The 27,051-nt window shown below is 46.8% G+C and overlaps 1 protein-coding gene across 9 annotated transcripts in view, besides 4 other annotated features; it reads left to right on the top strand.

The window, feature by feature from the left end:
• The window catches only part of TENM4 (teneurin transmembrane protein 4), a 788,202-nt gene that overhangs the window by 362,076 nt on the left and 399,075 nt on the right, over positions 1-27,051 (top strand). For 5 of the 9 annotated variants that reach the window (XM_047426739.1, XM_047426737.1, XM_047426736.1 and 2 more), the window contains 2 exons: positions 8,946-9,233; positions 13,948-14,217. In XM_047426739.1, the coding sequence (XP_047282695.1) occupies positions 8,946-9,233; positions 13,948-14,217 (558 nt within the window). Of the gene's footprint in view, positions 1-8,945; positions 9,234-13,947; positions 14,218-27,051 lie in introns of those variants that run through there. The other 4 variants (XM_047426742.1, XM_047426741.1, XM_047426740.1 and 1 more) reach the window with 1 other exon arrangement.
• Positions 8,650-9,206: an enhancer, noted in NCBI's record as "H3K27ac-H3K4me1 hESC enhancer chr11:78780794-78781350 (GRCh37/hg19 assembly coordinates)". NCBI's record gives its function as "activates a minimal SCP1, AML or CMV promoter by ChIP-STARR-seq in naive H9 embryonic stem cells {active_cell/tissue: H9 hESC(naive)}" and the evidence as "EXISTENCE:reporter gene assay evidence [ECO:0000049][PMID:30033119]".
• Positions 11,703-12,269: an enhancer, noted in NCBI's record as "H3K27ac-H3K4me1 hESC enhancer chr11:78777731-78778297 (GRCh37/hg19 assembly coordinates)". NCBI's record gives its function as "activates a minimal SCP1, AML or CMV promoter by ChIP-STARR-seq in naive and primed H9 embryonic stem cells {active_cell/tissue: H9 hESC(naive and primed)}" and the evidence as "EXISTENCE:reporter gene assay evidence [ECO:0000049][PMID:30033119]".
• Positions 18,273-18,773: an enhancer, noted in NCBI's record as "H3K4me1 hESC enhancer chr11:78771227-78771727 (GRCh37/hg19 assembly coordinates)". NCBI's record gives its function as "activates a minimal SCP1, AML or CMV promoter by ChIP-STARR-seq in naive H9 embryonic stem cells {active_cell/tissue: H9 hESC(naive)}" and the evidence as "EXISTENCE:reporter gene assay evidence [ECO:0000049][PMID:30033119]".
• Positions 18,774-19,274: an enhancer, noted in NCBI's record as "H3K4me1 hESC enhancer chr11:78770726-78771226 (GRCh37/hg19 assembly coordinates)". NCBI's record gives its function as "activates a minimal SCP1, AML or CMV promoter by ChIP-STARR-seq in naive H9 embryonic stem cells {active_cell/tissue: H9 hESC(naive)}" and the evidence as "EXISTENCE:reporter gene assay evidence [ECO:0000049][PMID:30033119]".

The following is a 27,051-nucleotide window of genomic DNA, read 5'->3' as shown; positions in this document are numbered from 1 at the left end:
TAGAATGACGTATGCAGGAAGCAGTGTAGGTTATGATTAAAAGCTTGAACCTTGGGGTCAGACAGACACAGGTTTGAATCCTAGCTCTGTCACTTTTTTGTTGTGGCCTTCCAGGCAGGATACTTAACCTCCCTAAATCCTGGTTTCTTTGTCGATAAAATGGGGATGGTTTTGGGAGTGGTGAGAACTCAGTGAGGTAATGCATATAAAGACCTTGCTTTTAGCCACCATTATTATAATCACTGTCTCACTGTTGAAAAAGGCCAGGGATTCCCCAAAGTGACAGTGCCAGAGAAATATGCTCTGGGTGCTACAACAGAGAGTACAGACCTCAGAAGCAGAGCTCCCGGATTCCAGTCCTGGTGTGTTGTGTGAACTTGAGCATCACTTTGCTACTCTCAGTTTCTAAATCAGTAAAGTGGGGATAGGAGTGCCTCCTTCTCTGGTTTGCACAAAGCCCAACACAATACTTGGTACAAGAACAGGTACCACCACAAGCCATCCTCCCCACCCCCACTTTAAAATAAAGGACTCAAAGACCACACTTTGAAGGAATAAGAAAAGTAAAATTCACGATTTTACACATACACACACACACACAGATGCTACCCAGGACTTATATTTTGTGGAACACATTTTAGCTCTGAAATATTTATGGGCCCTTTTTGACACACAAAGAACTAAAAATATCACCCTGTGCTTATGTTAAGGAAAACTTATAAAACTTTAGTCCAGTAGGAATTCAGTCAATTTCCTGGCTCGTTTCTGGCTGTATCTGAGGCTGCGAGGTAACCCGGGGTGATAACAGCCCCCATTTCCCTGCGGGTTTTGGCAGGGGCAGAGGTTTTTTCGAGCACTGTACTGTCTGTGGAAGTCTCTCTGCGAATGCTCCAGGCTCCTGCCCCTTCATAAATATTGCTGGAACCCATGTGAAGGGGCCAGGTTTGTTTCTTGAATTTCTCCTCAAACACCAAAAGCTTTATTTCCCATATCTCCCCTTCTCCCGGGCCCCACACTCTTGCCATTCTTCCAGACCAGCTCCAGCCTCCCAAGGCAGCAGGGCCTCTGAAAACTAGCTGCAGGGCACGCTCCCTACCAGGTCCTCCGAGGGCAGGCTCTCTCTGCCACATGCATTTTGCATTTTACTGTCCACTTACATTTACCATGTAGGGATGTTACTTTATTTCTTCTACCAGGCTGCTCCCTCCTCACTTCTCAAGCTTTCTCTCCAACCTCTTTCCCTCCCCAGAGTCTGAACTCTCGGAATATAACTGGGCCTTTGTCTGTGCCAGGTTCATTTTTCCATGCTGTGATCTAGGACAGTGTTTTTCAGACTGTAGATTGGCATCTCATTCATAATTCTAGTTAAGTAGAGAATAAAATATCAGATTTCACCCTTGCAGTAAGGTTCAGCATCTTTTCATGAAATTTTTGTTTTAGTTAAAAAAATTGTAGATGTGTGTATCCTGGATTGCAATATAAGCGTATTTTTACTGTAGGCAAGAGAAATTTGAAAGCCACAGATCTAAACTTTTTTCTCTCCTTACCTCAAAACCGTCTTTTACTTGACATTCTTTGGTTTTCATTTAGATGTCACTGTTTCTGGGGAGTGGTCCCTGATGGTCTCTCCACCTTTGACCCACCTTGGCCTGGGTGTGGGGCAGGCCCCTGTGGTGTCCTTCCCTGCCTCTCCCTCTGTCTGACTTGCCCAGTGTATAGAAGCATCTAGGAGTCAGAAGCACATCTGTCTTGTCCTCTGATGCCTCCAACAAGGCTTGGCACAGGAGGGTAGGAACTGGGAGTTCGGGGAGGAGAGAAGAAGGGAGTCTCCTATGACGCCTCCTTGGATCTTTTGCAGCACTTAGGACAGAAAAGGGACTTAGCAATGATTACCAAATGAATGAGCCTATGGAACTAGGTTTTTGATCCTTTTCTTGAGGTTCAAACATTTTCTTCAGTTTCAAATCTAGACCCTGACACTTGGAAGCCACGTGATCTAGAGCAAGCCAGTTAATCTCTGGGCTTGTTATCTCATTGATAAAATAAGAGTAAATAAGAGAAAATAAAGAATAAAAGAATAATACCTAACTTACCAAGTTATTATAGGGATTTGAAATAATTTACACAGTACCAAGCACATGAGGAGGTGTTCAATTAACAGTAGTTATCTTACCATTACTAGCCCTTTCTTTTCCTGTCTTCAGTGATCCCCTGATCACCATCACCACCAGGGGGCTCCCAGGCCTCCCCACATTCACGTCCCTATTGAAACCTTCCAGATCCATCCAAGCCCAGCTTCACATAAAGGAAAAAGACAAAAACAAAAAAAATACTGATATGGTTTGGCTGTGTCCCCACCCATATCTCATCTTGAATTCCCACGTGTTGTGGGAGGTAATTGAATCATGGGGGCCGGTTTTTCCCATGCTGTTCTCGTGGTAATGAATAAGTCTCACAAGATCTGATGGTTCTATAAGGGGGAGTTTCCCTGCACAAGCTCTCTCTTCTGTTGTCTGCCACCATGTGAGATGTGCCTTTCACCTTCTGCCATGACTGTGAGGCCTCCCCAGCCACGTGGAACTGTAAGTCCATTAAATCCCTTTTCCTGTATAAAGTACCCAGTCTCAGGTATGTCTTTATCAGTAGCGTGAAAACAAACTCATACAACCACCCAAACATGGATTTTAAATTCAGAAGGTCTGGGTTCAGGTCTCAGCCCTGTCCTTTACTGGCTGTGTGAACTTGATCAGATAACTGGATCTTTTAGCCTGGCCTCAAAAACGAGAAATAATTATGGCTTTCATGGGGGTATGTGAAAAGCACTGTGCTCAACACATATGTCTTCTTCCCTCCTCTCCTCTGGGCCTACTCTCCTTCTCCACAGACACACCAAAACCAAGACCCACGTTAGCATAAGAACAAGCTTATAAAACTGCAGTTTATACTTTATCAAAGCATTTGTCACTGATGGTGATGGTCCCTAGGGCTGACACCCCAGAGAGATGGTGAGCTGTCACTGGAGGGCTTGTGACCCGCTCCTCTCTGGAACCTCCAGTGCCCAGCACTAGACTGGTCTGCAACAGTTTGTGAAAATGAATTCTTCTCTAAGGCACCTTTGTGGTACTCAGGTTTTGCTTGGAGAAGAGTTTCAGAACACTGCGCCATGTCTGGAGCAGACTGACAGGCCGAGTCCCTGCCAGGGTCTTACACATCTCACAGATGGCGTCAGTGGCAATGTGCTCACCTGGGGGCCACATGCTCTTCGTCTTGATTGGAGCCTCTTTGTTTAGCCTGAGGCCTACAATGACTGAGCTACTAGTTTGGTCCTTAGTTATATATTTGCTACTTGAGCTTCCCAAAACATTCTCACCTGCCTAATTTGGTCTAGGTTTAAAGTAGTTACATAATTTGTTGTTTAGAAATAACAACACAATAATGATGATGGCATTGACAGTAATGATTTTCCAATCCCTTATACCAATTTAGTACATTACAGTTTACAAAACATCTAACAAACTCAGCCTCTTGGAGTAAGTTAAATGTCCTGTGCCCAGGGCCACACAGCTAGGAGGTGGCCAGGACAGGCCTTACTCCTAGCCTGGAGCTCATTCTATCACTGTCAGGATAGAGGGTTCTGGAAAGAAGGTTTGCAGTTGGACACTTCCAGCTCTTGAGTCTCTTCCTGTGTGACTGCAAGCCAGTTATTTTACTTCTCTAAGCCGCAGGCTCTTCATCAATAAAATGGGACCGATTCACAGAGGTAGAAATGATGAGAACTAAATGAAATCATCTCAAGCACTTGACCGGTGCCTGGCCTATGGCAAACCCTGAGTAAGTGGTGGCTGGTGTTATTATTAGTTCAATGACGATGATGATTGCTGAAAGCCAACAGAAAGTAAGGGGTGAAGCTGTATCATTGGTCAGGATCCTAACAGGAAACAGTTCACTCTAGATGGCTTAGAGGAGCAGACTTTAATGAAGAGACGGAGGTGCAGCAGGGTCTGAGAGCCAGCCCTGATGGTGAGACGCCTGGGCTGTAGCAACAGCAAGAAACTGGCACATCCCTGGTCCTGCACAGATGAGGGTAGGGGAAGATGTTAGCAGAGCCCAGTATGAAGCGGAGGCCTGGAGGAGGGGCTACCTGTCAGAGAAGGCATGGACAGAGGACTAGAGAGCTAGTGGGGGCAGGGAAGACACACTCTGGCCTCTCACCTAATGTGACCCTGCCCCCATCTCCTCCTGGTGCCGCCCTTAGGTGAGTCCACCCAACACCACTTGTAGAGGCTCAGCAATGTTAAAGAGTATGGGATGTCTGGCAAATGGCAGGCAGTTCTGCATGACTGAAATGGAGCATATGAGTCTGCGAGAGACAGGTTGCTCTGTGGCAGCCAGAGGAAGCAGAGAGAGACAAGGAAAGTTCAGATCTCCAGAAGCCTTGGATGTCACGCTCATGGGTTTTATGGGGAACCCAGAGGTTGGTGGGTAAGGAGGGAGCGAACACGTTTAGGCATGGATATGTGCCATGTGCTTCTGTCCCTGAACCTGTGGCTGGGGGTTGCAGGGTCTGAGGTGGGCCCCTTCCCCAGCATTCCTTCTGTCCTTCTGCCGGGGGGCTCCAGGTCACTGTACTGAAGTCCCTTGCTCCAGAGGGAGCATTTCTCCACTGTCACTCCTCTTTCACCCCAACCTCTTCTTTCTCGCTCTGTTAAATGCCAATTTGAGTGTGAACCATAACTGACCTCCCATCTGTTCAAAAACAGTAAATATTTGCTGAATTACTATATTAAGCCTAAAATGTGAAAAAAAAATTTTAAGGAAATGAGAACCAGGCGAATGTTCTCCCTGCCTCAGCTTTGTGACAGGGAAGCTGTGCGTTAGGTGTGTATGTTCTTAATAATTTGTGATTACTGAGCCTTTGCCTTGATGCCAATGTCTTCAGTCAACAGGCACACACTGATAAGAGGAAATAGTCACCCACCAATTTAACAGCCTAAAACGTTTCTCAGCCTTATTTACATATGCTTCTGAGGGGATGCCCCTTCCCCAGTTATAACTGACACTTACCCGTAGCTTTCTACATTATGCCTTTTAAACAGAAAATGTGTTTGTTTTTTCTGATGATAATAATAGCTAACATCTATGAGCACTCATTGTGTATCAGGGGCTGTATATGCTAGGGGCACATCTTAACTCATTTAATCCTCAAAACAACCCTAAGAGGTTTTACAGATGAGAAAGCTGAAGCACAGAGAGGTTAAATAACTTGCCCAAGGTCATTCAGCCGGTCAGTGGGGGATGCATACCGCAAGCCTGGGCTACCTTTGAAATTTAAAAAAAGAATACATGTGAGCAACGCCTCTAATTCAGCCTTAGATTTACGTAATACTTTACTTAATTGGTAGTGAACTACTAATATTTTATGTTATTGAGGCTTAATAAGAAGACATGAAGTAGCTGCCAAGTAGTTTCATTCATGCATGCACTTAACAGGCATTTTGTGAGCACCGGATACCAAGCCTACCTACCCTCAAGGAACCGTAGTCAAGGGGAGAGGCAGACATGAAAAAAAGATCATCTAGTGGGCTGCATGTGCAGTGATGAAACATCATGCACAAAGTCAGAGAGGCCACAGAATTCACATCCAGGAAAGTGTGAGTGGCTCAGCAAGATGGAAGCGAGGTGAGCCAGACTGACAAGAGCCTTCATTTTGACCAGGAAGCCAGAATTGACCCCAAAGGCTCAGCAGGGCTGCTAGAGGGCATAAGCAGGACAATAGCATGACCTGGGCCTCAAAAATTCCCCTGGCACAGCCCATACAGCAGTTATACCCATTTGCTGAGTTCAACCTCAGGATCACAATTTTTTCTCCACCATGCCAGGGCCATGTAACCTTGGGCAGCATACTTAACCTCACAATTTCTCATCTGCAGTTTGCAGAGAATCATAATACCTATATCACAGGGTTGGGGTGAGGATTAAAGATGTTATATATAATCATAGTAAAAGCAAGCAATAATTAAATATTAGCTACTAAGAGTCTATTAGCTATATTGTTCAAACCATTATTAATATTATGAGTTATTAATATGAGTTATTAGTGAGTCATATTAATAATGGCTAACATTATGGAGTACTTATGCTTATTATTATCATCATCATTATTGTCACTCAGGGGTTAGAAGTAAACAGGCAGAGGCAGCAGTTGCCATAAATCCTCATTCAAATTATACCAGAATAGTGCTTTGCGTTGAAAGCCAGTATTGGGTTGTGATATCAATTTAGAGTTATAATCAGTCATTTTTTAAAAATGAAAGAGAATGAGATAGAACATATCAGAGTGCATTTCTCATCATGCAATAACTTTTGTGAATCTTTTGTTTCTCTTTTATACATGTAAACACACACATTCGCATACATCAATGTGTGTAGTGGGTCATTATGTAAGATATTGTAATTTTTTTTTTTTTTTTGAGACAGGGTCTCACTCTTGCCCAGCGGGGAGTACAGTGGTACCATCACAGCTCACTATAGCCTTGACCTCCTGGGCCCAAGCTATCCTCCCGTTTCAGCCTCCTGAGTAGCTGAGACTATAGGCATGTGCCACCATGCCTGGCTAAATTTTTGTTTGTTTGTCTGTAGAAACAGGGCCTTGCTGTGCCCAGGCTGGTCTCGGACTCCTGGCCTGTAGTGATCCTTCCACTTCGCCTCCTAAAATGCTGGGATGACAGATGTGAGCCACCCCATGCCTGGCCATAATATGTTTTTCTAATTATGGACTGCAGTCAAGAAAGTTTTTAAAACCCTGGAGTAGAAGGTACTATCACTGATCTTCCCTTGTGGTCCTGCTTCTCAGACACTCAGAGGACTATCATCTTGCCAGCTATTGGGAACACTGAGCATCAGGATGGCAGAGCTCAGAGCTCTGGGTTTGAGCCTCAGTAATATAATTTGATTTCTGTGTGTCTCGAGTTACACCCCTTGCCCCAGCATTAATTTCCAGGGATATTTTGAGAATCGGGAACCAAAACAGTGTCAACTATTCATCTTAATTGGATCTAGGTATAATCCCGAGGCATTGCAGTCTATGTAGTTAGTGCCAGCTTTGCAACTAACTCACCATGTGGCCTTAGGCAGGAGACTATATGGCCCTGGGTCACTGTAGCTTCATCTATAATATGGGGATGAAAATAATTGTAATCTCTACTTCACAGTTATTGTGAGGCACCAATAAAATCACAAATGTTTGCACTCTTGGAAAAACGGGCCAAAGAGCTACCTCTGATGTCCATGGTCAAAGGCAGAATTTGGAAACTACGAGCCTCAGAGCAAATTCAACTCAGAAGTCTCTTTTGTTTGGCCTGCAAAGTATTAAAATTAAATAATAATAATGGATCAACATTTTAAAGTCATAGCTTTTATATCTAACTCCAAATTTCCAGCTTGTCTTAAAAATTCACAAGACACCCCCACCCCCCAGACACTCCCACCCACACTCCCACTTTGCAGCACAGGCAAGCACTTGGACAGACCCACCCTCCCAGCTGTCAAGGCCCCACCCTGGACACTGAGATCTGATGTTGGCAGCATTTATCACAGCTCTTGCTCTGTTGTCTCTCTAATTGGATAGTGAAGCAGGGGAATGTCTTGTGTACCCATGCTGCTCTGAAAGATGGAGCAACAGAAAGCCAGAACTGAGCAGGTTGTGTTTCATAAAAACTAAGTGATGCCCTATGTCTCTGCGGAGGATATTCTGCTTTCCTTCTGTATTGAGCTCCTGGCCCTGTATGGTTGTGTTTGCTACCCCAGAGCTCAAAGAAGACATTTGGAGGGAGAAAGAGGGTGCTATCACAACTCAAAAATCCAGGGGTGTCAGTGTAGGGCAGAAGGGTCAAGATGGGGAAAAGAGGAGAAAGGGCTATTAGGAGCTTCCCACCAGTCAGACCTTCTAGCAACACCCAGATGGATGGGGCAGACACTGTGCTGCCCAGTGCTGACGGTGGCACTGAGGAGATGGGCAAGTCTGGAGGTGAGGGACATTCTCTGAGTAACTGGAAGGGCACTTTTGTGTACTAAGAGTAGGAGGGAGACGTCTCAGGGAGGCAGAATGGAATAGGAAAAATGCAGGCTTTAGAGCCAAACAGATCAGAGTTCCAATCCTGGCTTTTTTACTTGACACCTAAGTGACCTTGAAGGGGGTTCCGAGTCTCAGTTTTCTCATCTGTCAGATGGGGATGGTTAGCTGGTTAATTAAACACATCTTTATTATGCGCCTACTGTGTACCAGCCCTTGTTCGAGGTGCTAGAGACCAGGAGTGAGCAGTACAGGTAAAGTTTCTGCTCTCATAGAGCTTACAGACTAGCAGAAGGAGATGGGCAAAAAGCAAATAATTATATAATCATCTGGTAGTGGTAAGTGTGGGTTGGTTGTTTATACCTTAGCTCGTTTCCAAAAGAGGTTGGAGAGAGTAATAACATCTCAGAAGATATCAAGATTTACTAAGATAATATATGCAAAGTGCTTACCCCAGTGTTTGCATGCAATCATTCATCTCACAGATTTTTAAGGAGCCCTGGGCCAGAGCTGGGTCAGGCCCTGCTCCATGTGGGATGTGATGGGAACCAAACAGGCTTGGTTCCTACCTAGGAATATTACTAACCACCAGTGCCCTTTGGCCTTTGCTGTCAGCTTCCTCGGTGCCCATCACTGGAGGAGGCCTCCTCAAGGTGAATAGGCTAAGTAGCAAAAAGGGCCAGGATTTGTAATTAGAGGTCCTGGGTGCGACTTTCCTTTGCCACTTATGGGCTGCGTAGTGGTGGAGCGGTACCCTCTCCTCCACTGCCTGGGGTTCTCTGTCCACAGGGCTGCAAGGGTGAATCCAGGACCAGGATGAACCCGGGAATGTTCTCTGCCTCTCACGCCCTATCTTTGGTTTCCCTGGCTCTAGACCACTCGGCCCTGAGTGCGGCGAGGACCCTGTTTGTGGATGTGGAGGAGCGCGGGCCGGAGGCCATGGACGTGAAGGAGAGGAAGCCTTACCGCTCGCTGACCCGGCGCCGCGACGCCGAGCGCCGCTACACCAGCTCGTCCGCGGACAGCGAGGAGGGCAAAGCCCCGCAGAAATCGTACAGCTCCAGCGAGACCCTGAAGGCCTACGACCAGGACGCCCGCCTAGCCTATGGCAGCCGCGTCAAGGACATTGTGCCGCAGGAGGCCGAGGAATTCTGCCGCACAGGTAAGGACAAGGCCGAGGGGGCGGGCCTCAGGCGCAGGTGAGCTTGGCTCAGGTAGGCATGGGCTCGGGTGGGCGTGGCGCAGGTGGGCGTGGCACAGGTGAGCTGGAACACCAGTTGGGGTGCCATATCAACAGCAAGTTTCTGCCATTTGGGCACTTGGACCTGGTAAAAAGCCTGCCCTGTAGTTCATTCTTAGTTCATTTATTTTCTCGCTCACCCACTTCCCTGGCATAGTGAGGTGGTTAGGAGCTGGGCTCCAGTGTTTGTCTACCTGCCTAGAGTTGAGTTAGGCTCCCCTCTAAGCCTCAGTCCTCAACTGTTACATGGCCGTGAGAAGCCTCCCTAGTGCACTGAATTGTCCTGAGGACTTAATGAGATGGCCTTTAAGTGGTAAGCCTGATAATACCAAGTAAGCGCTGAATAAATGTTAGTTCCTAGTTTTGCTGTTCATTCAACAAACATATTTAGCAGTTTCTTTGTGTCAAGCCCTGTGTGACCTTGAGAGGAAGACCTTCCCGAGATGGTTAGACATGAAAACTTAGTAATTTGTAGGATATTCTGGTGCCTGGCTCCCTCTCCTGCACTTTCTACCTACAGTAGTCCCCAAAGCCTATCCATCCTGCCCCAGTATTCAAATCCATTCTTCTTAGCCATTCCCTCTGATACTTCCCAGTGCAAACCATTATCATTTTTCTTGGAGGATTAACCACAACCACCCCCCTTCACCCAGAGCTGCCCGCCTCTAGCCATTCTCTGTACTGCAGCCAGATGAAGCTTGGGGGTGACTCCCTGTTGCCCTTAAACTGAGCTCCCCCTAGCATAGAACTCTTTCCCCAAATCTGTTTCTGTTTTTCTAGACTTTTTTTGTCCCCTAACTCTCCACACTCCACCACTCATGGGCCAGCCCTGCTGAACTGCTCAAGTTTCCAGACCTGCCATGATATTTCTTTCCTACCCTGGTGCCTCGGTGATTCCTGTTTTTCTGCCTGCAGAGGCTTGAGCCCTCTTTGATGCCTGTTGGGTCATGACCAATGCCTGACAATTTGTGCAGCCCACCCTGATTTGCTCTGCCCTTCTCCCCCTTCACAGACAGGGTCAGCTGAGCACTGTGCTATGTAATGTATATGCATTTTGACAGTGTTATTTAATTCTCATAACAACCCCAGGGTGAATCATTTGCCCAAGATCACAGAGGTAAGAGGAGCTGGCCACACACACACACAGAGCACACCTATGACCTCTTCATTTCCATTCTCTCCCACAGGCCTGTATCCATGTGAAAGCTGACCTGTTCTGCCTGTGAGGCTTGAAAAATGAGCAGTCCCTTTCCCAGCTTATGGTTAAGGCTCCAACTCTGGCATCAAACAGACCTAGATTTGAACTGTGGCTCTGCCATTTTTAGTATTCTCAGCTACTTTACCTGTGCAAAGGGATAAACAGTACCTAATAGGTGGTGAGGATTGATGAGAACTATAAATGAAACACTTGACACCAGTACCTGGCACAGAACAGATGCTTCAGAAATGCTGCCTGTTATTCATTGTCATCTCTGGATCTCACTGAAGAGAAGAGACAAAATGGTCTCTGAAAGCTTTTCTTTTGCTCCGTCCTGTCCGTAAGTGACAGAGCTCAGTGAGCCCCGGTTGGCTTGGACCTAGCACATGAGGCTCAGGGAAGGGGCGGCTCCTTGTCTTTGTAAATAACAAATAAGCATTCTCATCTCATAGGCAGGCATGTGCGTAGCAGTTTACAAAATACTCTCCTTCAAATTATCACCCTGGATCCTCAAAAATCCTTTGAAGGTAGCAGGTCATAGATTATCATCCCATTTTAAAGACAAGAACATTGAAGCTCAGGTGATCACAAGCCCAAGATTGCACAGCTAGATGTTGAGTGAGATGGGATGTCAACTCATGCCCCGGGCCTCAGAAAAGAGGCCAAAAAGGACATAAAGCAAGTAAACCATGAGGACTTCTTAAATTGGATGAAGTAAATCTTCCAAACTCACACATCAGAGGAGCTGACTGGCTCAACAGGATCATGGAACCCTTAGAGTGAGCCCTTACCTTGCATTTTCCTAGGAGTTAAGTTCCTAAGACATCCTAGTCCCGAGATGTCTTAACTCACTTGTATTGATGCTGAGTCTGGCTGCTTAAAAGGGCATGCAGGACAAGCCAGATGGAAATCAATGCAGCCCAGGCTGTTTGTTGCAAATAAATTTGATTTTTCACTTAATGTAAGAGTCATTCTTCATAACACGTGAGTGGCTTCTCTTTGAGAGGGCCGGCCGAACAGAGCACAGATAGAACTGTGGATGGGGACAGGGGGCGAGAGCAGGACAGGAGAGAGGAGTGTAGATCAGAGAGCGGCCAGGGAGTGTGATACGCAGGGAGAGCAGGAAGCCGACTGAGGAATTTAGGCTCTAATTTGGCATTTTCTTTTTCTTTGAAGGAGAGCAAAATCGGAGGGCAGATTGGAGTAGGGCACGGAGGAGTGGTATGCAAAATACTTAACATCTGGTTGGCCCAGCCTCTAACCAATCAGAATGTCTGCCTGGCCACTGAGCAGAGCCCACGGGCTTCTTTTATGCCTGGTCCGCGGACATTAACCCTTTGTTTAGTAACTGGATCATGAGGAGATTGGGGGTATTGGGAAGGGGCTGGAACAGCCAGAGCAGAGGCTGAAAGGCACTGGGTGTGGAAGGAGGCACTGAGGTGGCTTGGCACAAGTTATTTACCAAGCTGTGTGGAAGTACTTCATGACTGTAACCTGGCATCAAGGCTGTCCCAGCCTGAGCCAGCTGAGTAGGAGGCCTGAGATACACCTCCACCCACCACCACAGCCTAGCATAGCAGCTTGCATTTCAGCAGCACCCCAGCTGGTCTCTCCTCCCCGCTTCCTTGTCCCCTTATCTGTTGTCCAGAGTACTGCCAGAGTATGTGCTTGTGTGTGTGTGCGTGCTTGTGCGTGCGTGTGTGCATGTGCGTGCGCGTGTGTGCTCGAGTGTGCATGCGTGTGTGTGCTCGAGTGTGCATGCGTGCGTGTGTGTGCATGTGCATGTTTGCACGTGTGTGTGCACTTGTGTGTTCATGTGTGTGCGCACGTGTGTGTGCACGCGCGTGTGTGCTTGTGTGCATGTGTGTGTGCGCGTGCACGTCTGTGTGTGTCTGCATGTGTGTGGTTACCTAACTTTTACAGGGCACCTACTCTGCAGCAGGTGTGATAGGTGTTGGATTCAGATAATTAGGACACACCAGGGGAGCACAAGTTTATCTGTAAGAGTGAGACACACCATTATAATAAGATGGCGTCTCTGCTGGCTCGCCTCCTACCCCTCCGGCAGTTCTTTCTTGCTTTCCTTTGCAGGCTTGTCCTATTCAGTCCTGGCCGAGGAGGCCTTTAAAGCTTGGCCATCCACCTCTTCTGCCTTCTAACTTGTCATTCTCCACATTCACTCTCATCGCAAACCTCTCCTCTAAGCTCCTCACCCCAATATCCCACCTTCTGCTCCTGCGCTCCCAGAGCACTCTGTGGATCTCCCCATTTTGAACTTGCACACTTAATCATGTGTTTGGTTGTGTCTCTCCTACCCGCCAGAGAGTTCTGTAAAGTTGGGCACTGTATCCTATTCACTGCTGTATCTCAGTACAGGCCCAGGGCCGGCATGAATTGGTTTAAATGTGGGTTCTGCCTGATTATAACTCCAGTTCTCCAGATCGTCACGTTAAGTGGGATCTGACCCTTACTGACTTTGTATACTCCCTCTTCCTTTTCCCTGCAACACATTCCTGGGAATACTAGAAGTACAGGAGAAGCTGTCCCTGAATAGACATTGAATTCACATGCAGGAGTGACAGGGAGGCTAGTTTTCCATGAAGTCAGCATTCTCTTTGTCACTCAGGTACTACTCCTAGGTGACCTTCTCTTACCCAGCCTCTGTCCTAGGCATTGCCAGGCCTGCCCAAGCCCTCAAGAGACCTGTCTCTGCCAGTTCCCCATCACAGACCCACTTGGGATAAGGAAGCAGCAGGCAGAGCCTTTTTCCTGGTGTGAGGCTGACTTTTCTCTGCCAGTCCCCATCTTCTTCACTCTCAAGCTTCAGGCTTTCTTGACCTGGCCAGAAAGGAACTTCTGGCCCCAAGGGAGACATTTAGATCTCATCGACTGGGCTTCTGCCCTGCTCAGGACTTGCTGAAAAGTCCTCCCTGGAAAAGGAGACCTGAAGCCCTCAATTCATTTTAACAAGCATTTATTGAGCCCCTTCTGAGTACTGCATTTTTGTTCTAGGGAAAGAGATTTAAGAATAAGCATAAGCAAAACATGGTGCCTGCCCTTGCTGAGGTCACCTCCAGCAGAGGGGTAGACCCTTAAACAACTCTACTGTGCAGTATGACCAGGCCCAAGGACTCTGGAAGGAGCTTGGAGAAAGTGAAAATGAATTCTGCACAGGTGTTGGTATTGGGGTAGACTTCACAGAGCAGGTGCCATTTGAGTTGAGGCTTAAGGGAAATGGAGGGTTCAGGCTGATGAAGAGGGGGCAGAAAAAGCCCTCCAGGCAGAGGCAATCACTTGAACAAAGGCATGGGCATAGAATGCCACAGCAAGTTCAAAGAACGACAGTGAGCCCTGGGGTAAGAAGGCCAGGCTTCAGGCAGAGGCAGACGCAGACCTCATCTCAGTGCCCTAACCAAGTTCACCTGTGTTTCCTCCCAGGTGCCAACTTCACCCTGCGGGAGCTGGGGCTGGAAGAAGTAACGCCCCCTCACGGGACCCTGTACCGGACAGACATTGGCCTCCCCCACTGCGGCTACTCCATGGGGGCTGGCTCTGATGCCGACATGGAGGCTGACACGGTGCTGTCCCCTGAGCACCCCGTGCGTCTGTGGGGCCGGAGCACACGGTCAGGGCGCAGCTCCTGCCTGTCCAGCCGGGCCAATTCCAATCTCACACTCACCGACACCGAGCATGAAAACACTGAGACTGGTGAGTGGCTGGTTTGGTCTGTGCCGGGTGCCTGGGTGGTGGGGCTGGGGTTTTATTTATAATATTGATTTCCTGCTCCACTGCCGGGGCTCTGGTGAAGTTGGTGAAAAATTGCTTTACTCTCAGGGGTCAAATGTCAGAGTCTCTTGGAGAGTCACGTGAAATGCCCACCCATGAGTGACATGCCAGAGATTGGGTCGCTGCTCTTTGCTTCCGGATTAGGGAGGCGCCTAAGTCTCTGGGTCATTGCTCATAAGGTGCCTGTGTGCAGGGGAGCAGAGAGGGCATGGGGCAGTGGTAACAGATTCCCCATAGTTTATCCTCCATCAAATCAGCAAGGCCTGGTCCTGCCTGAATCCTGCTCATGCCATCTCTAGCTCCAGGTGCTCAGCTGTCCTGGGCAACCTCTAGGAACGCTGTCCCACATCAGCATCTTATGTTGTTCAGAGGATGGCTTCCAAACAAAAACTGTCATTTGGGGATAACTTGAGGTTTAGGGAAGATGTTGTCAAAGGGTACAGCGTTTCAGTTAGGAGGAGTAAGTTTTTGAAATCCATTGCACAGCATGGTGACTATAGTTAATAATAATACATTATATATTTCAGAGTTGCTAAAAGAGTAGATTTTTAAATATTCTCACCACAAAAAAATAAGTATGTGAGATGAGAGATATGTTAATTAACTTGATTTAATCGTTCCACAGGGTATTTAGGTATCAAAACATCATATTGTGCCCTATAAATATATACAATTATTATCTGTCTATTAAAAATAAAAAGAAAGTAAAAAGACAAAAAAAAATAAACTTTAATGATTAAAACTTGAGGCTTTGCTGCAGCTTCCCCCTGATCCCAGGACGTGCCAGCTGCACACTCATTATTCCACTCTCCTCCCTGAGGCTCGTTCCCAAGGCCTGAGAGAGGCTGTGGGAGGAAAAGATGACACCTGGTTCACACACCTCCTTTTCATGGTGGAGGAAAGGGGGCCCAGTTTCAGCGTCTTCCTCTTTCTCCCTTGGGACCTTGCTGGCAGAATTCTGAGGGGCTCTGAGTCGAACGTGGTCCTGCGTGGAGACTATTGCCTGGGGGGAATCTCCCCTTCTATATATTTCATGCCCTACCAGCCCTTGGGCAGCTTTGCTGAGCCAGGTCAGCACCGAGGTGGGTCCTGCTGGGTTCTGGCAGCAAAGGAAAGAGTGGCAGAGCCCAGGAACAGCCCCAGCACCTGGAGGGCTGTTTCTGGGAAGCCCAGTGAAGAGGAGGCCTGCTGGTGCTTCCGCACGACAGCCAGCAAAAGGGTAAGGGGAGGGCAGTCTGAATTATTAATAGAATAGGAAGCACCTAGCCTGGTGCCAGTGCCCCCTGCTGGCTTCTAGCTTCAAATGTAGATCCTCGTGATTCCTGCCCGGGATTCCCCTGGATCAGGGCAGGGACCAGGTCAGAGATGAGGCTTAGAGGGGTTAGTCTCTGAAGAGGAGGCTCCAACTGAGTGGTGCAAAACCAAGATTGATCCCCAGATTGGGGATGGGCAGGAGACCACGCACGGTCAGGGTCAGGTGGGGGAAATGTATCCCCTTAGGGTCCAGAGTCCCATGTGGCAGAGTTCCAAAGGTGCATCCTGCCACCCCTCCCAGAGGACTAACATGTTCGCCTAGGGAGCCTGTGTACTTGTCTAGGGGTGGGAGGGTGGCAATTGCTTGGGTACTGGGTAGTGGCTTAGCACTGTCACTCTCCGTTGGTCCCCAGCCAGCCCTGTGAAGGGGCCGATGACCTCAGTACCAGAGGAGTTTCCCTCTCTCTGGTGGGAAACCACCCACACTCCCTCACCCACCTTCCCAAGGCCATACCCAGCCAGCAACCCTGCTTCTCCCCACCCCGACCACGCACTGAACTTGAGCATTAAATTGAAGGGCAGTGCAGGGCCTGGCACAAAGAGAATAGGGTCTGTGCCATCACACCACAGCAGGCAGGGAGCCTCAGTTCTATTACTGGTCTAGGGTGTGGCATGGGGTAAATTGCATCCTTTCTTGGGACCTCAGTTTCCTCATCTATAAAATAAATAGTTTAAATGAAATTAGCATCCCCTGATCTGAGAATGTTAGTTCTTAGATGGGGTAAGGGGCTGTTCTGTGGTCAAATAATGTAGGAAACACTGAATCAAACAAACTTAAACCACTTTCTTTACTGCAGGGCTTCTTAGAGTTTTTAAGATGTTAATGTGCATGCTAATGGATAAATTACCAAGGGAGGATGTATGCAGCATTCCCCAAATCAATTTGACCACAGAACTCTTTTATTCTCAGAGCATCTGGTGGGACCAGTATTCTAATAAACGCTTTTTGGGTCTAGCTGAGCTAAATGAAATGACCTGTAGGCCCTTCCAGATGTAGAATTCTTGGATCCTAATTGCATGCACAAGATGAAGGTGTGCAAGAGGAAAATGATAATAATAACAGCATTAATACTTAATAGTTGTATGGCTGGGCATGGTGGTTCAGGCCTGTAATCCTAGCACTTTCAGAGGCTGGGGTGGATGGATTGCTTGAGGCCAGAGTCCAAGACCAGCCTGGGCAACATGGCAAAACCCCATCTCTATTAAAAATACAAAAATTAGCCAGGCATGGTGGTGCACACTTGTAATCCCAGCTACTCAGGAGGCTGAGGCAGGAGAATCACTGGAACCCCAGAGGCAGAGGTTGCCATGAGCCAAGATTGCACCACTGCACTCCAGCCTGGGCAACAGAGCTAGACTCTGTCAAAAAAAAAAAAAAAATAGTTGCCACCGATTATCTCAACCTAAGCACAGTGCTAACTGCTTTAGCTATATTATCTCATTTACTCCCCCTACAACCCTTTAAAGAAGGTTTTATTATCCCCATTGCACACAGTAAGGAAACCGCAGCCCAGAGAAGTTAAGAAATCTGCATAGGTCACACAGCAAGCAAAATGAGATTGGAACTCAAGCCTACATGACTCTAAAATCTTTACTCTTACAGCCCTAGTTACAGTGAGTTCCCTCTGTAGCAAAATACTTGGGTTATTTGTTCTTTTGAAGGCTTCTTGCCATGGTGACAAATGATCACTTAACATAAAGTCATGACAGAAAGAGGTGCACACTTGCGCACATTATTGTATATTCCCTGAGAGCTGAATTACAGCTGAATTAAGCCTCTGTTGGGTGATAATGACATATTAATCAAGCCTGAAGAGTTTCAGCCTTTGATAGTGGGACAGAGAAATGGCTGCCTGCTCCCCTGGCCATGTTGTCATTTCTTTGTGATCGTCCATTTCCCCACTGGCCACAGAACTCAAAGCCTCACTGTACTCAGGGTAGACGGGTGGGCAGAGGAGGTAGGCAGATGAATCTAATAAAGGGCTTCTGTTTCCCACATCCCTTCCAAGACTGGACTCCCTAAACCTAGACTCCCCATAGGTGCCCAAAGGCTGTCTACTTGCTCCTGGTTAGGAAGTTACATTAACAGCTTCGTTATGCGGTACTCAGATCTAAATAATGACAGCAATCATGGGAATGGCTCCCTTTTATTCACTGATTAGGTTCAGGTTCCTCTTACACTATTATCTCCCCAACTTATAGCGGAGGAAACTGAGGCACAGAGAGATTAAAGGCTGTGCACAGGGCCACATATCTAGTTGAGCTGGAGCCAGGCTCTATGACAAAAGTCTTGGTTCCTTTTACCCTGTCTCTCCCTTTTCTTTTACCTTCCCCTTCTCCCATCTTTCTCTAGTTCCCACTGACCTCAACAAACCCCTGGGCCCCAGCCAGACCTCTCCTTTTCTTGTGATGAGAACTCGGATCTCACCATCAGAACAGGGCTCAGTTCCACTGGACCTGTCAGTGAACACATCACAGTGTGGTCACTTCTCAGGGGTAGAGCAAAGGCAGCAACCTCATGCTATGGGCCTACCACTGTACATGTGCAATTGCCTTTAATCTCCCTGGCAACTCAGTGGCATTCCCATTTGCCAAATGGGAAACCTGAGGCTCCAAACTGAGACACAATAGCCTGCGAGTCAGCAAGTTGGCAGAGCTTATATTTGAAGTCTGGTTTCTCTGAGTCCTTTGCCTGCCTCCATTTGAGTCTGCAGGCGTCCTCAGCTCTCAGTTGAGGCCACCAAAAATGTGCAACCAAGTTCTCAGAGATCCTTACCAGATAAATGTAAAATGTGAAGCATAACCCCCAGCAACCTCCAGCCACAGGAACATTTACTCTGCCTCCACACCCTGCCTTGCATTAGTCAATAGTAATTGTCAACAGTATTGATAGCGGTAGAGGCTTTTGCAGAGGTCACACTGATGCTGCATGCAGCTGCCATCAATAATAACTTTTATGGGGTCCATTAAAGACAATTTCTGCCCCTGAAGGTTAATGTCAGCAGCTTTTATGTCACTGCTTAATATCTAAAATAAATACAGAATTGACTGGGTAATGTAAACACAAATCTTCCTACTCGGGGCCTTCAGGCAGAGCCAGCCCTCAGGCCTCTCCTCCCCTGCCGTGAGAGGCCAACAGGCTGGGGGTCGGGAGGCAGTGAGAAGCTGGCCTGTCAGGAACAGTCGGCATGCAATAGATGTTTTTTAGAAAGCAGAGGTTGCAATTCAAGCTTCGCTCCCAAGCACTGGGTCAAGCTGACACAGTGTCTTTTGTGGGTTCATTCTGTAATTTGTCCCACAGCTATGCTGAGCTCCTTCAGTGTGCAGCATGATTCTAGGATGTGGACTCTAGATGACCGGTGAGGGAGGCAGGGCTGTGACCACCTTGCAGCTCTTTAATAGAGGTGCAGCAGGCAGTGTTGCAGAGTGGAAAAAGAATGCTAGTTTCAGAGTCCAATGTGGAGACCTGGCCTCAAGTCCTGGTTGCCCCAGTCTAAGCTCTGAGATCTTGGGCAAGGCATTTCACCTCTTGGAGCCACAGTTTTGTCATTTTAAAAAGAGCACATCAGTGGTTAGCAGGAACTAAGAAGAGGCTGTTGGGGAGTTATTGTTTAATGGGTACAGATTTTCAGTTTGGGATAATGAAAAAGTTCAGAGATAAGAGTAATGGATGCACAACCATGTGACTACACTAATGCCACTGAGCTCTATTCCTCAAAATGATTAAAAAGATTAACTGTTATGTATTTTTCACATGATAAAAAATTACAAAAACAGCATGCCATCTTCCTTCCTTGAAGTGTTGCCGTGAGCCTGTACTACAGCATTTGTGAAGCGTCAGGTCTGTGTTGGGCCTTAATTCACGGGAGCTATTAATATTAATTTTTTAAGAAGCTGGATGATGACAATAAAGGAGCAGTTCATTTTGCCCTGAGGGTGCAGAGGCTCATTCCTTCATTCCACTCATGTTATGCATGGGGCTTGAAAGCCTAGTAGGATTTCACTGAGTGTGAGGGATCTGAGAGAGGCATTCCCAATAGAGACAATTGCATGACCCAAGGCTTGGAGGCACGCAGAAGCATGATGGGTCTGGGGAACAGTAAGAATGTACATGATTTAATCCCAGAGGCAAATTAAGAAACCTACTTTGAAAGGAAACAATGAAACAGAATCACAGTTACCCCTGCCCCAAATTGTCAAGCAGCCTGGTGTCAAAAGGGAAATTATTGGTTAACCTAATTAGGCAGCCAAATTGCTCATTCAGAGTCAGTAGATTAGGTGAGCATCTCCAAAGCACAGTGAGAAAGGAACTCATTACCAATTAACTCCATTTATCCTCTGCTCTCCTTGGCCCCATACCCAAGAGACTTGGTTTTAAAAATCTATAAGAATATCTATCATTAAGTCCCAAAGTGGTCAAAATACTGCAGCAACCCAACTCATTGTACAATGGGACACCATCTTCTAGAATGGGAAGTTAGGTCCCATCCACTAGGGTAGGGATTGGGCCCCACATTTGATTACTCTGCTGCTTGCCCCCAGGCTCCCAAGAGGACTGAGGAGAGCCTGGTAGAGCCAGAGCCTCTGAGCCTCTCGGAATCTGTGAGCTAGAAAGAACCTTGGAGACAACAAGCCCACCAACTCTTAACCTTCCCTCATTTTCTAGCCAAGGACACAGAGATTTGGAGCAGTTAGGTTATCTCATTGAAGGGTGCATAGCTAGTAAATGTCAGAGCCAGGGTGTGAATCCAGATCCATCCTACTACAGTGTCCATTATCCTTTTTTTTGTTTTTTTTTTTTTGAGATGGAGTCTCACTCTGTCGTCCAGGCTGGAGTGCAGTGGCACGATCTCAGCTCACTGCAACTCCGCCTCCAGGGTTCATGCCATTCTCCTGCCTCAGCCTCCCCAGTAGCTGGGACTACAGGCGCCCACCACCACACCTGGCTAATTTTTTTTGTATTTTTAGTAGAGACAGGGTTTCACTGTGTTAGCCAGGATGGTCTCGATCTCCTGACCTTATGATCTGCCCGTCTCAGCCTCCCAAAGTGCTGGGATTACAGGCGTGAGCCACCGCACCTGGCCCATTATCCTTCTTGACCACCGTGTTCTACAGTCTTTTTTGTTTTATAGAGACACGTTCATGTTAGCTCAACCCAAAAAATATAGATGCTAGAGATGCTTCTAGCTATATCCAGAATATAAACTTCTTTGTCAATATTAGAAACTTCCAGAAAAGAAATTGAACCCATAACCTATTAGAAATGATCAGGACCCAGAGATCATACTGGGCCACTCTCAAATTATGACATGCTAGAAAAATGACATTTGAAGTACATGTTTTAGAGGATTAAGAGAAATATCCCATCAGAAGGTATCTGAGAAAGCTTTATGGAAGAAGTGCTGGCCCCTAGGTTTTGAGGGCTGGAAAGGACTGTAACAGGCAAAGAGGGGTAAGAGGGGACATTCTATGTGGGCAAAGCTTGGGGGTAAACCAAGAGAAGGTTTGTCATATGAGGCTAGGACATAAGCGCGTGCAACTGGGAATAGGGTGGCAGAGTGTACTAGGAGGTAAGGTTTGCAAGTTAGCTGGATTGTCTGTCATTCCACAACTATTTGTTGAGCACCTACTATGTACCAGGCACTGTTTTAAATACTGGGGTTCCAGCAATGACCAAAGCAGACAAAACTGCCCCCTCTCATGGAGATACATTCTAGTGGGAAAATTGATGATGAACAAGGTAAAAAATAAATAACATAGGATGTTTCTCTATAATAGTTGTTATGGAAAGGGGGACAGTAAGTCCCCAGGGTGAGTCTGGGCAGTGTCATGGGGAGGTGCAGTTGTAAAGATGGTAGCCAGAGAAGGCTTCACAGAGAAGGTGACATTTGAACATAGCCTTGCGGTAGGTGAGGGAGCAGGCTGTGAGGATGTCTGGAAGTAAAACAATCTTGGGAGAGGGAAGGGCAGGTGCTAGGGCCTTAAGGCAGGAGTGTGTGTGTGGCTAGTTTGAAAAGCAGCAAGGAGGCCAGAGTGGCTAGATGGTAGAGGAGGCCAAAGAGGGGAGGGAGTAGGGGTGTGTGCAGGCCAGTGCAGGGGAGCCACGGAGGGTTCTGAGTGGAGAAGTGATGAGGTCTGACTAATACTTGAACAGGATGATTCTGGAAGCTGTGTTGAGAGTAGACTAACAGGCAAAGGCTGAAGTAGGCAGCTATTGCAGTCATCCAGGAGAGAGACAACAGGTGCTCAGGTCAGAGTGAGCCATAGGTGAGGAATGGGCAAGGGTTGTAGTTCACTGAGGTGTGGCAGTGAGGGTAGTACCTGTACCTGTGGATGGGGATAGAACTTTCTCTTCCCTGCTCCTCCCCACCATCTTGTTAGCATTGAGGATGACTTCAAGACTCTTAAATTCTGTGACCAAAATGGCTTGCCAGTACTGTAAGGACGGGGGGCTTGCCCCTGATCCTTCTCCCAGCCTCACAGCTACCTTGGCCCAGTTCCGGGTCCTTTAGCCATGGCCTGTCCCATGCCATACCCTGTGCTTTCTTGTTCTTAGTCCACAGCTTTGGTGATGAGCCATATCCCTTGCCCACTCCTCCCACCACGCTCCATCCTGCTGCAGATCATCTTGGTTTCTGACCTTGGTGCCTGACTCCCTCACCCAGCCTTGCCTTATCTTCCACATGAGACTCTTGGAACCATCATTTTTTGATACAATCTCAGCTTCCCTTTAAGCCATAATTTTAGCCTTTCCTTCTGCTTGGTTGCCTCAAGCTGCCTTAGTGAAGTTTGACCTGGGGCCTCCTCCGCATAGCACGAAATTGGCTGGAATTGCCTGTGATCTGGGAGCCAACACTGACGGCTACTAGCTTTGTTGTTCTTAGGAGTCCCTTTAAGAAGTCCTGGCCCAGATTAAATGCACCCCATAACCGCTTCCTGCTGGCAAGCTCTGTGACTCTCCCTGGTGGCAGCACATACTAACACAACAGCACCTTGCTTCTGAAAGGGAAAGGGAGGAAAAGGAAGGCTCAGAGCCATGGTAAATTAAGACAGATTGCATTCCCGAAACTGGGTTGAGACCTGCTGAGTGTGCAGAGAGGTACAGCAAATGAGAGTTTTGTTTTTAATTTGAGACAACACGATTTTCAATTCCAGTGGAGGCAACAACATGCATGATGACAAACTTCCTACCGAAAGATGTTTCAGAAGCATTTTTCCCTGTCAGTAAGCTCAGCTTTGTCCAAGAAGAGTGGTTTCTGAGGCTGCTTGAACTTCATCTGACCCAGGATGACTTCAAGGAAGAAAGAGTATAACCAACATTGGGAAAGGAGCTTCCTGCCTATGGGAGCCTAGTTCCAGTGCCAGATGTGTGGAGTCCAGGGATGAATCTGGTTTCAATTTTAGGCTGTGTCACTAGTCCTAGTGTGACTTTGACCTAGTCACTTCTCTCTGAGCATTATCATAGTTTCCCCATCAGCCGAAAAAGGTCAGTGGAATCTCAGACAGTGAGATAACTTGGAAGGAGGATAGGCTTTGGAGTCAAACTTGGAATCCCAACTCAGCTACTTAGGAATTGAGTGACTTTGTGCGAATTACTAGATCTCACTGAGATGAAGAAACGGAGAAACTCAGTTTCTTCATCTGCAACCTGGGAATGAATAACTGTCTACCTCCTAAAGTTGTAATAAGGATGGAAGGTGATCATGCATGTGAAAGAGCAGGACAGTGTTTTCAAAACTATGGGTCAACCAATCATGAAATAAATTTTATAGCTCAGCAACATCATTTAAAATAATAATAAATAGTCTGGGCACAGTGGCTCACGCCCATAATCCCAGCACTTTGGGAGGCCGAGACAGGCAGATCACTTGAGGTCAGGAGTTCAAGACCAGCCTGGCCAACATGGTGAAACCCCTACTCTACTAAAAATACAAAAATTAGCTGGGTGTGGTGGTGTGTGCCTGTAGTCCCAGCTACTCAGGAAGCTGAGGTGGGAGGATCACTTGAATCTGGAAGGCAGAAGTTGCTGTGAGCCAAGATCATGCCACCGCACACCAGCCTAGACAACAGAGTGAGACTGCATCTCAAAATAAATAAATTAGTAATAATAATAATATAATAGATAGAATAGAGAGAAGCAGAATAAAGTGTATGGCACATAGAAGATAAGTATTATTTTGTAAACTTTTTATTCCAGTTACAGGTTTTTTTTTTTTTTGAGATGGAGTTTCACTCTTGTTTTCCAGGCTGGAGTGCAGTGGCGCGATCTTGGCTCACTGCAACCTCTGCATCCTGGGTTCAAGCAATTCTCCTGCCTCAGCCTCCCAAGTACCTGGGATTACAGGTTCTGCCACCACGCCTGGCTAATTGTTTGTTTAGTAGAGATGAGCTTTCACCAGATTGGCCAGGCTGGTCTTGAACTCCTGACCTCAGATGATCCACCCACCTCAGCCTCCCAAAGTGCTGGTGTTAGAGGCATGAGTCACTGCACCCAGCCAGTCAGTTACACTTTACACACAATACATGCAGTCAACTGTCATGTAAAATATATTTATTATTATAGGTTTTAGTAAAAACAAGCTTAAAAGATGGTAACTGGGGGCCAAGCACCATGACTCATGCCTGTAATCTCAGCACTTTGGGAGGCCAAGGCGGGAGGATCGCTTGAACTAAAAATAACAACAACAAAAAATAGCCAAGGATGATGGTGTGCTTCTGAAATCCCAGATACTCAGAAGACTGAGGTAGGGGCCTGGGTGATCGAGGCTGCAGTGAGCTATGATTACACCACTGAACTCTAGCCTGGGCAGCAGAACAAGACCCTGTCTCAAAAAAAAAAAAAAGATGGTACCTGGAATATGCCTGGACCTTGTGAATGTTAATTCCCTTCCTTCAAGGACCCCTTAGCTCAAAAACTCCATGATTCATGATGTAAAAGTCTTGGTCAAAAACTGTTGGCCTAGTATTTCTAGGATCCCCTTTCTGAGAATGACTAAGTATCTGGGCAGGGGCTCATGATTCAGCTGAAAGAAGATTGACTCCGGGATCAGAGGCTTAATCAAGGTCACACAGCTTGTACAGTGATAAAGCTGGAATCCCTAATTTGTAGAACCTGTACATCTCTCCTCTCTCCTCTCCCAGTTCCCTCCTATGTAAATGGTCATTGGGATGATTAATAAGCCGTAGAGTAACTATGGGCTGTGGGGACAGCAGGAAAAGCATCCCCGAACAGGGAGAGCTGACTTAGGAAGATACAGGGGCTAGATGAGGCATAAGCTGGGTTCACGCACCCACCTGGATCTCTCCACTGAGCACAAAGGCAACTGGAGAGGAACCCAGAGCAGATAGCAATGGGCACAACATGAAACTAGCATGTCAAGAGAAATCTGGCTTCTTCCAACCCATAGATCCTTACCACAAATTTAATTTCACACTAATCAACCCAGGCAGATGGACAGAGCACTGTATAGTAATTGGTTGCTTTCCTTTGACTTCAGTCTGGAAGGGAGCATAGGAAGCAAAGGATGAAGAGGGACTCCAGGAGTTTATATGGGTTTGATACATGAAGCCCAGGAGGCAGCAATTACCCATACCCCACAAAATATCTCTTTCAGGAAGAGCCCTTAGGGATGACCAGACCTTCCCAAAACTCTCCCCAAAGTGACAAGCCTGGCTTCCTCTGATGGTGGGAAGCAGCAGCAATCAGGAAAAGGGGCATTGGACTGCAGACAGAGAACATGGGTCTGACTTCTGGCTGGTGGAGACTATTTAGGAAACAGCAAAGATCTATTATGGCTAAAGCCTGTGAGATTAAGAAAAGATGAGGCCAGAGAGGAGAGCTGGGTTGCATCATAGCAGGAGATGGTTCTGAATTGCTGGCTCAAGGGTTCAGCCTTTGTCCTGAAGGTGATAGGAACCACAGGGAAATTTTAAGCAGGGAGAAGTTAAAGGTGACAAATGCCTTCTCTGATTCAGGTAAGAACAGACATGACATCTAGAGTGATCTTGTTCTTGAGAAGACTACAATTGCCTTTAGCTTTGAATTACTAGCAGTTTAAATAAATAAAGCTGCAGGTCAGGCTGGAACCCACATTCATAATGCATTTGCCCTGAATAACTAACTAACCATGAACTTGTCAAGAACCTCAAGTCCCGCCTCTGCCAAATTTTGACTTTAAGAATCCTTTAGAGGGTGCCCAACTGGTTATCAGATTTTGTTTATAAAGAGTTTGTTTGTATATATAATTACTATCTTCTTGTCTTAATAAACCTGATTTAGTCTGAGTTTCCTAGAAAGCAGAGCTGAGGCAAAGATTAAAAGCTGATGCTTTATTTAGGAGAAGTCAACTCAGGAACATGAAACAAAGAAAGATGAGAAGCAAAGAACGGTGATGTGTTACCATGCTTGCCAGTGCCTCACAACAAGCTGCAAGGAGACATATCTGGTCTCTAAGCAGGAATGCCTCCTGAGAAGGCTCTCAGGCAGGCTGTACATAGCAGTCTACTCTCCAGAATAGTCTGTGGGAGGAAGGCAAGACAAGCAGTTAATGGGTGCTAGGCAGCAGAATTCAATGGACCGACTGGCCACAGTGGCAGCTGAAGTGCTGCCATTGGCTGAGAGGCCAGCAGATGGCGACCCCAAGAGACTGAAAGGGTGCATAAGCTGTGATGGATGCTGCTGTTAACTGCTTCTTCCTCCCTCCCTCCCTCGCCACATCCCCCCTGCTCCTTTCTTTATTTCTTTTTACTCATAAACTCTACCTGTCAATAATTACAGGAGTAATGCTCACTATTTATTATATACTTACAGTGAACCAGATAGTGCACATGCATTACTTCATTTCATTACCATGATCAGCCCATAAAACAAGGGTTGTTCCCCATTTAAAAGTGGGCAAAGGACATGAACAGATACTTCTCAAAAGAAGATATACATGCGGCCAACAAACATACGAAAGAAAGCTCACCATCACTGATCATCAGAGAAATGCAAATCAAAACCACAATGAGATATCATCTCTCACCAGTCAGAATGGCTATTACTAAAAAGTCAAAAAACAACAGATGCTGGCAAGTTTACAGAGAAAAAGGAATGCTTTTGCACTGTTGGTGGAAGTGTAAATTAGTTGAACCATTTTGGAAGACAGCGTGGCAATTCCTCAAAGACCTAGAGGCAGAAATATCATTTGACCCAGCAATCCCATTACTGGGTATATACCCAAAGGAATATAAATCACTCTGTTATAAAGATACATGCACACCTATGTTCATTGCAGTACTATTTACAATAGCAAAAACATGGAATCAACCTAAATGTCCATCAATGTTAGACTGGATAAAGAAAATGTGGTACATATACACCATGGAATACTGTGCAGCCATAAAAAGGAACAAGATCATGTCCTTTGCAGGGACATGGATGGAGCTGGAAGCCATCATCCT

Source organism: Homo sapiens, chromosome 11 (assembly GCF_000001405.40).
Source record: "Homo sapiens chromosome 11, GRCh38.p14 Primary Assembly".
Taxonomy (NCBI): Eukaryota; Metazoa; Chordata; class Mammalia; order Primates; family Hominidae; genus Homo; species Homo sapiens.
Note: the sequence above shows the minus strand (reverse complement) of the source record. Positions and strands in the feature narration are given on the sequence as shown.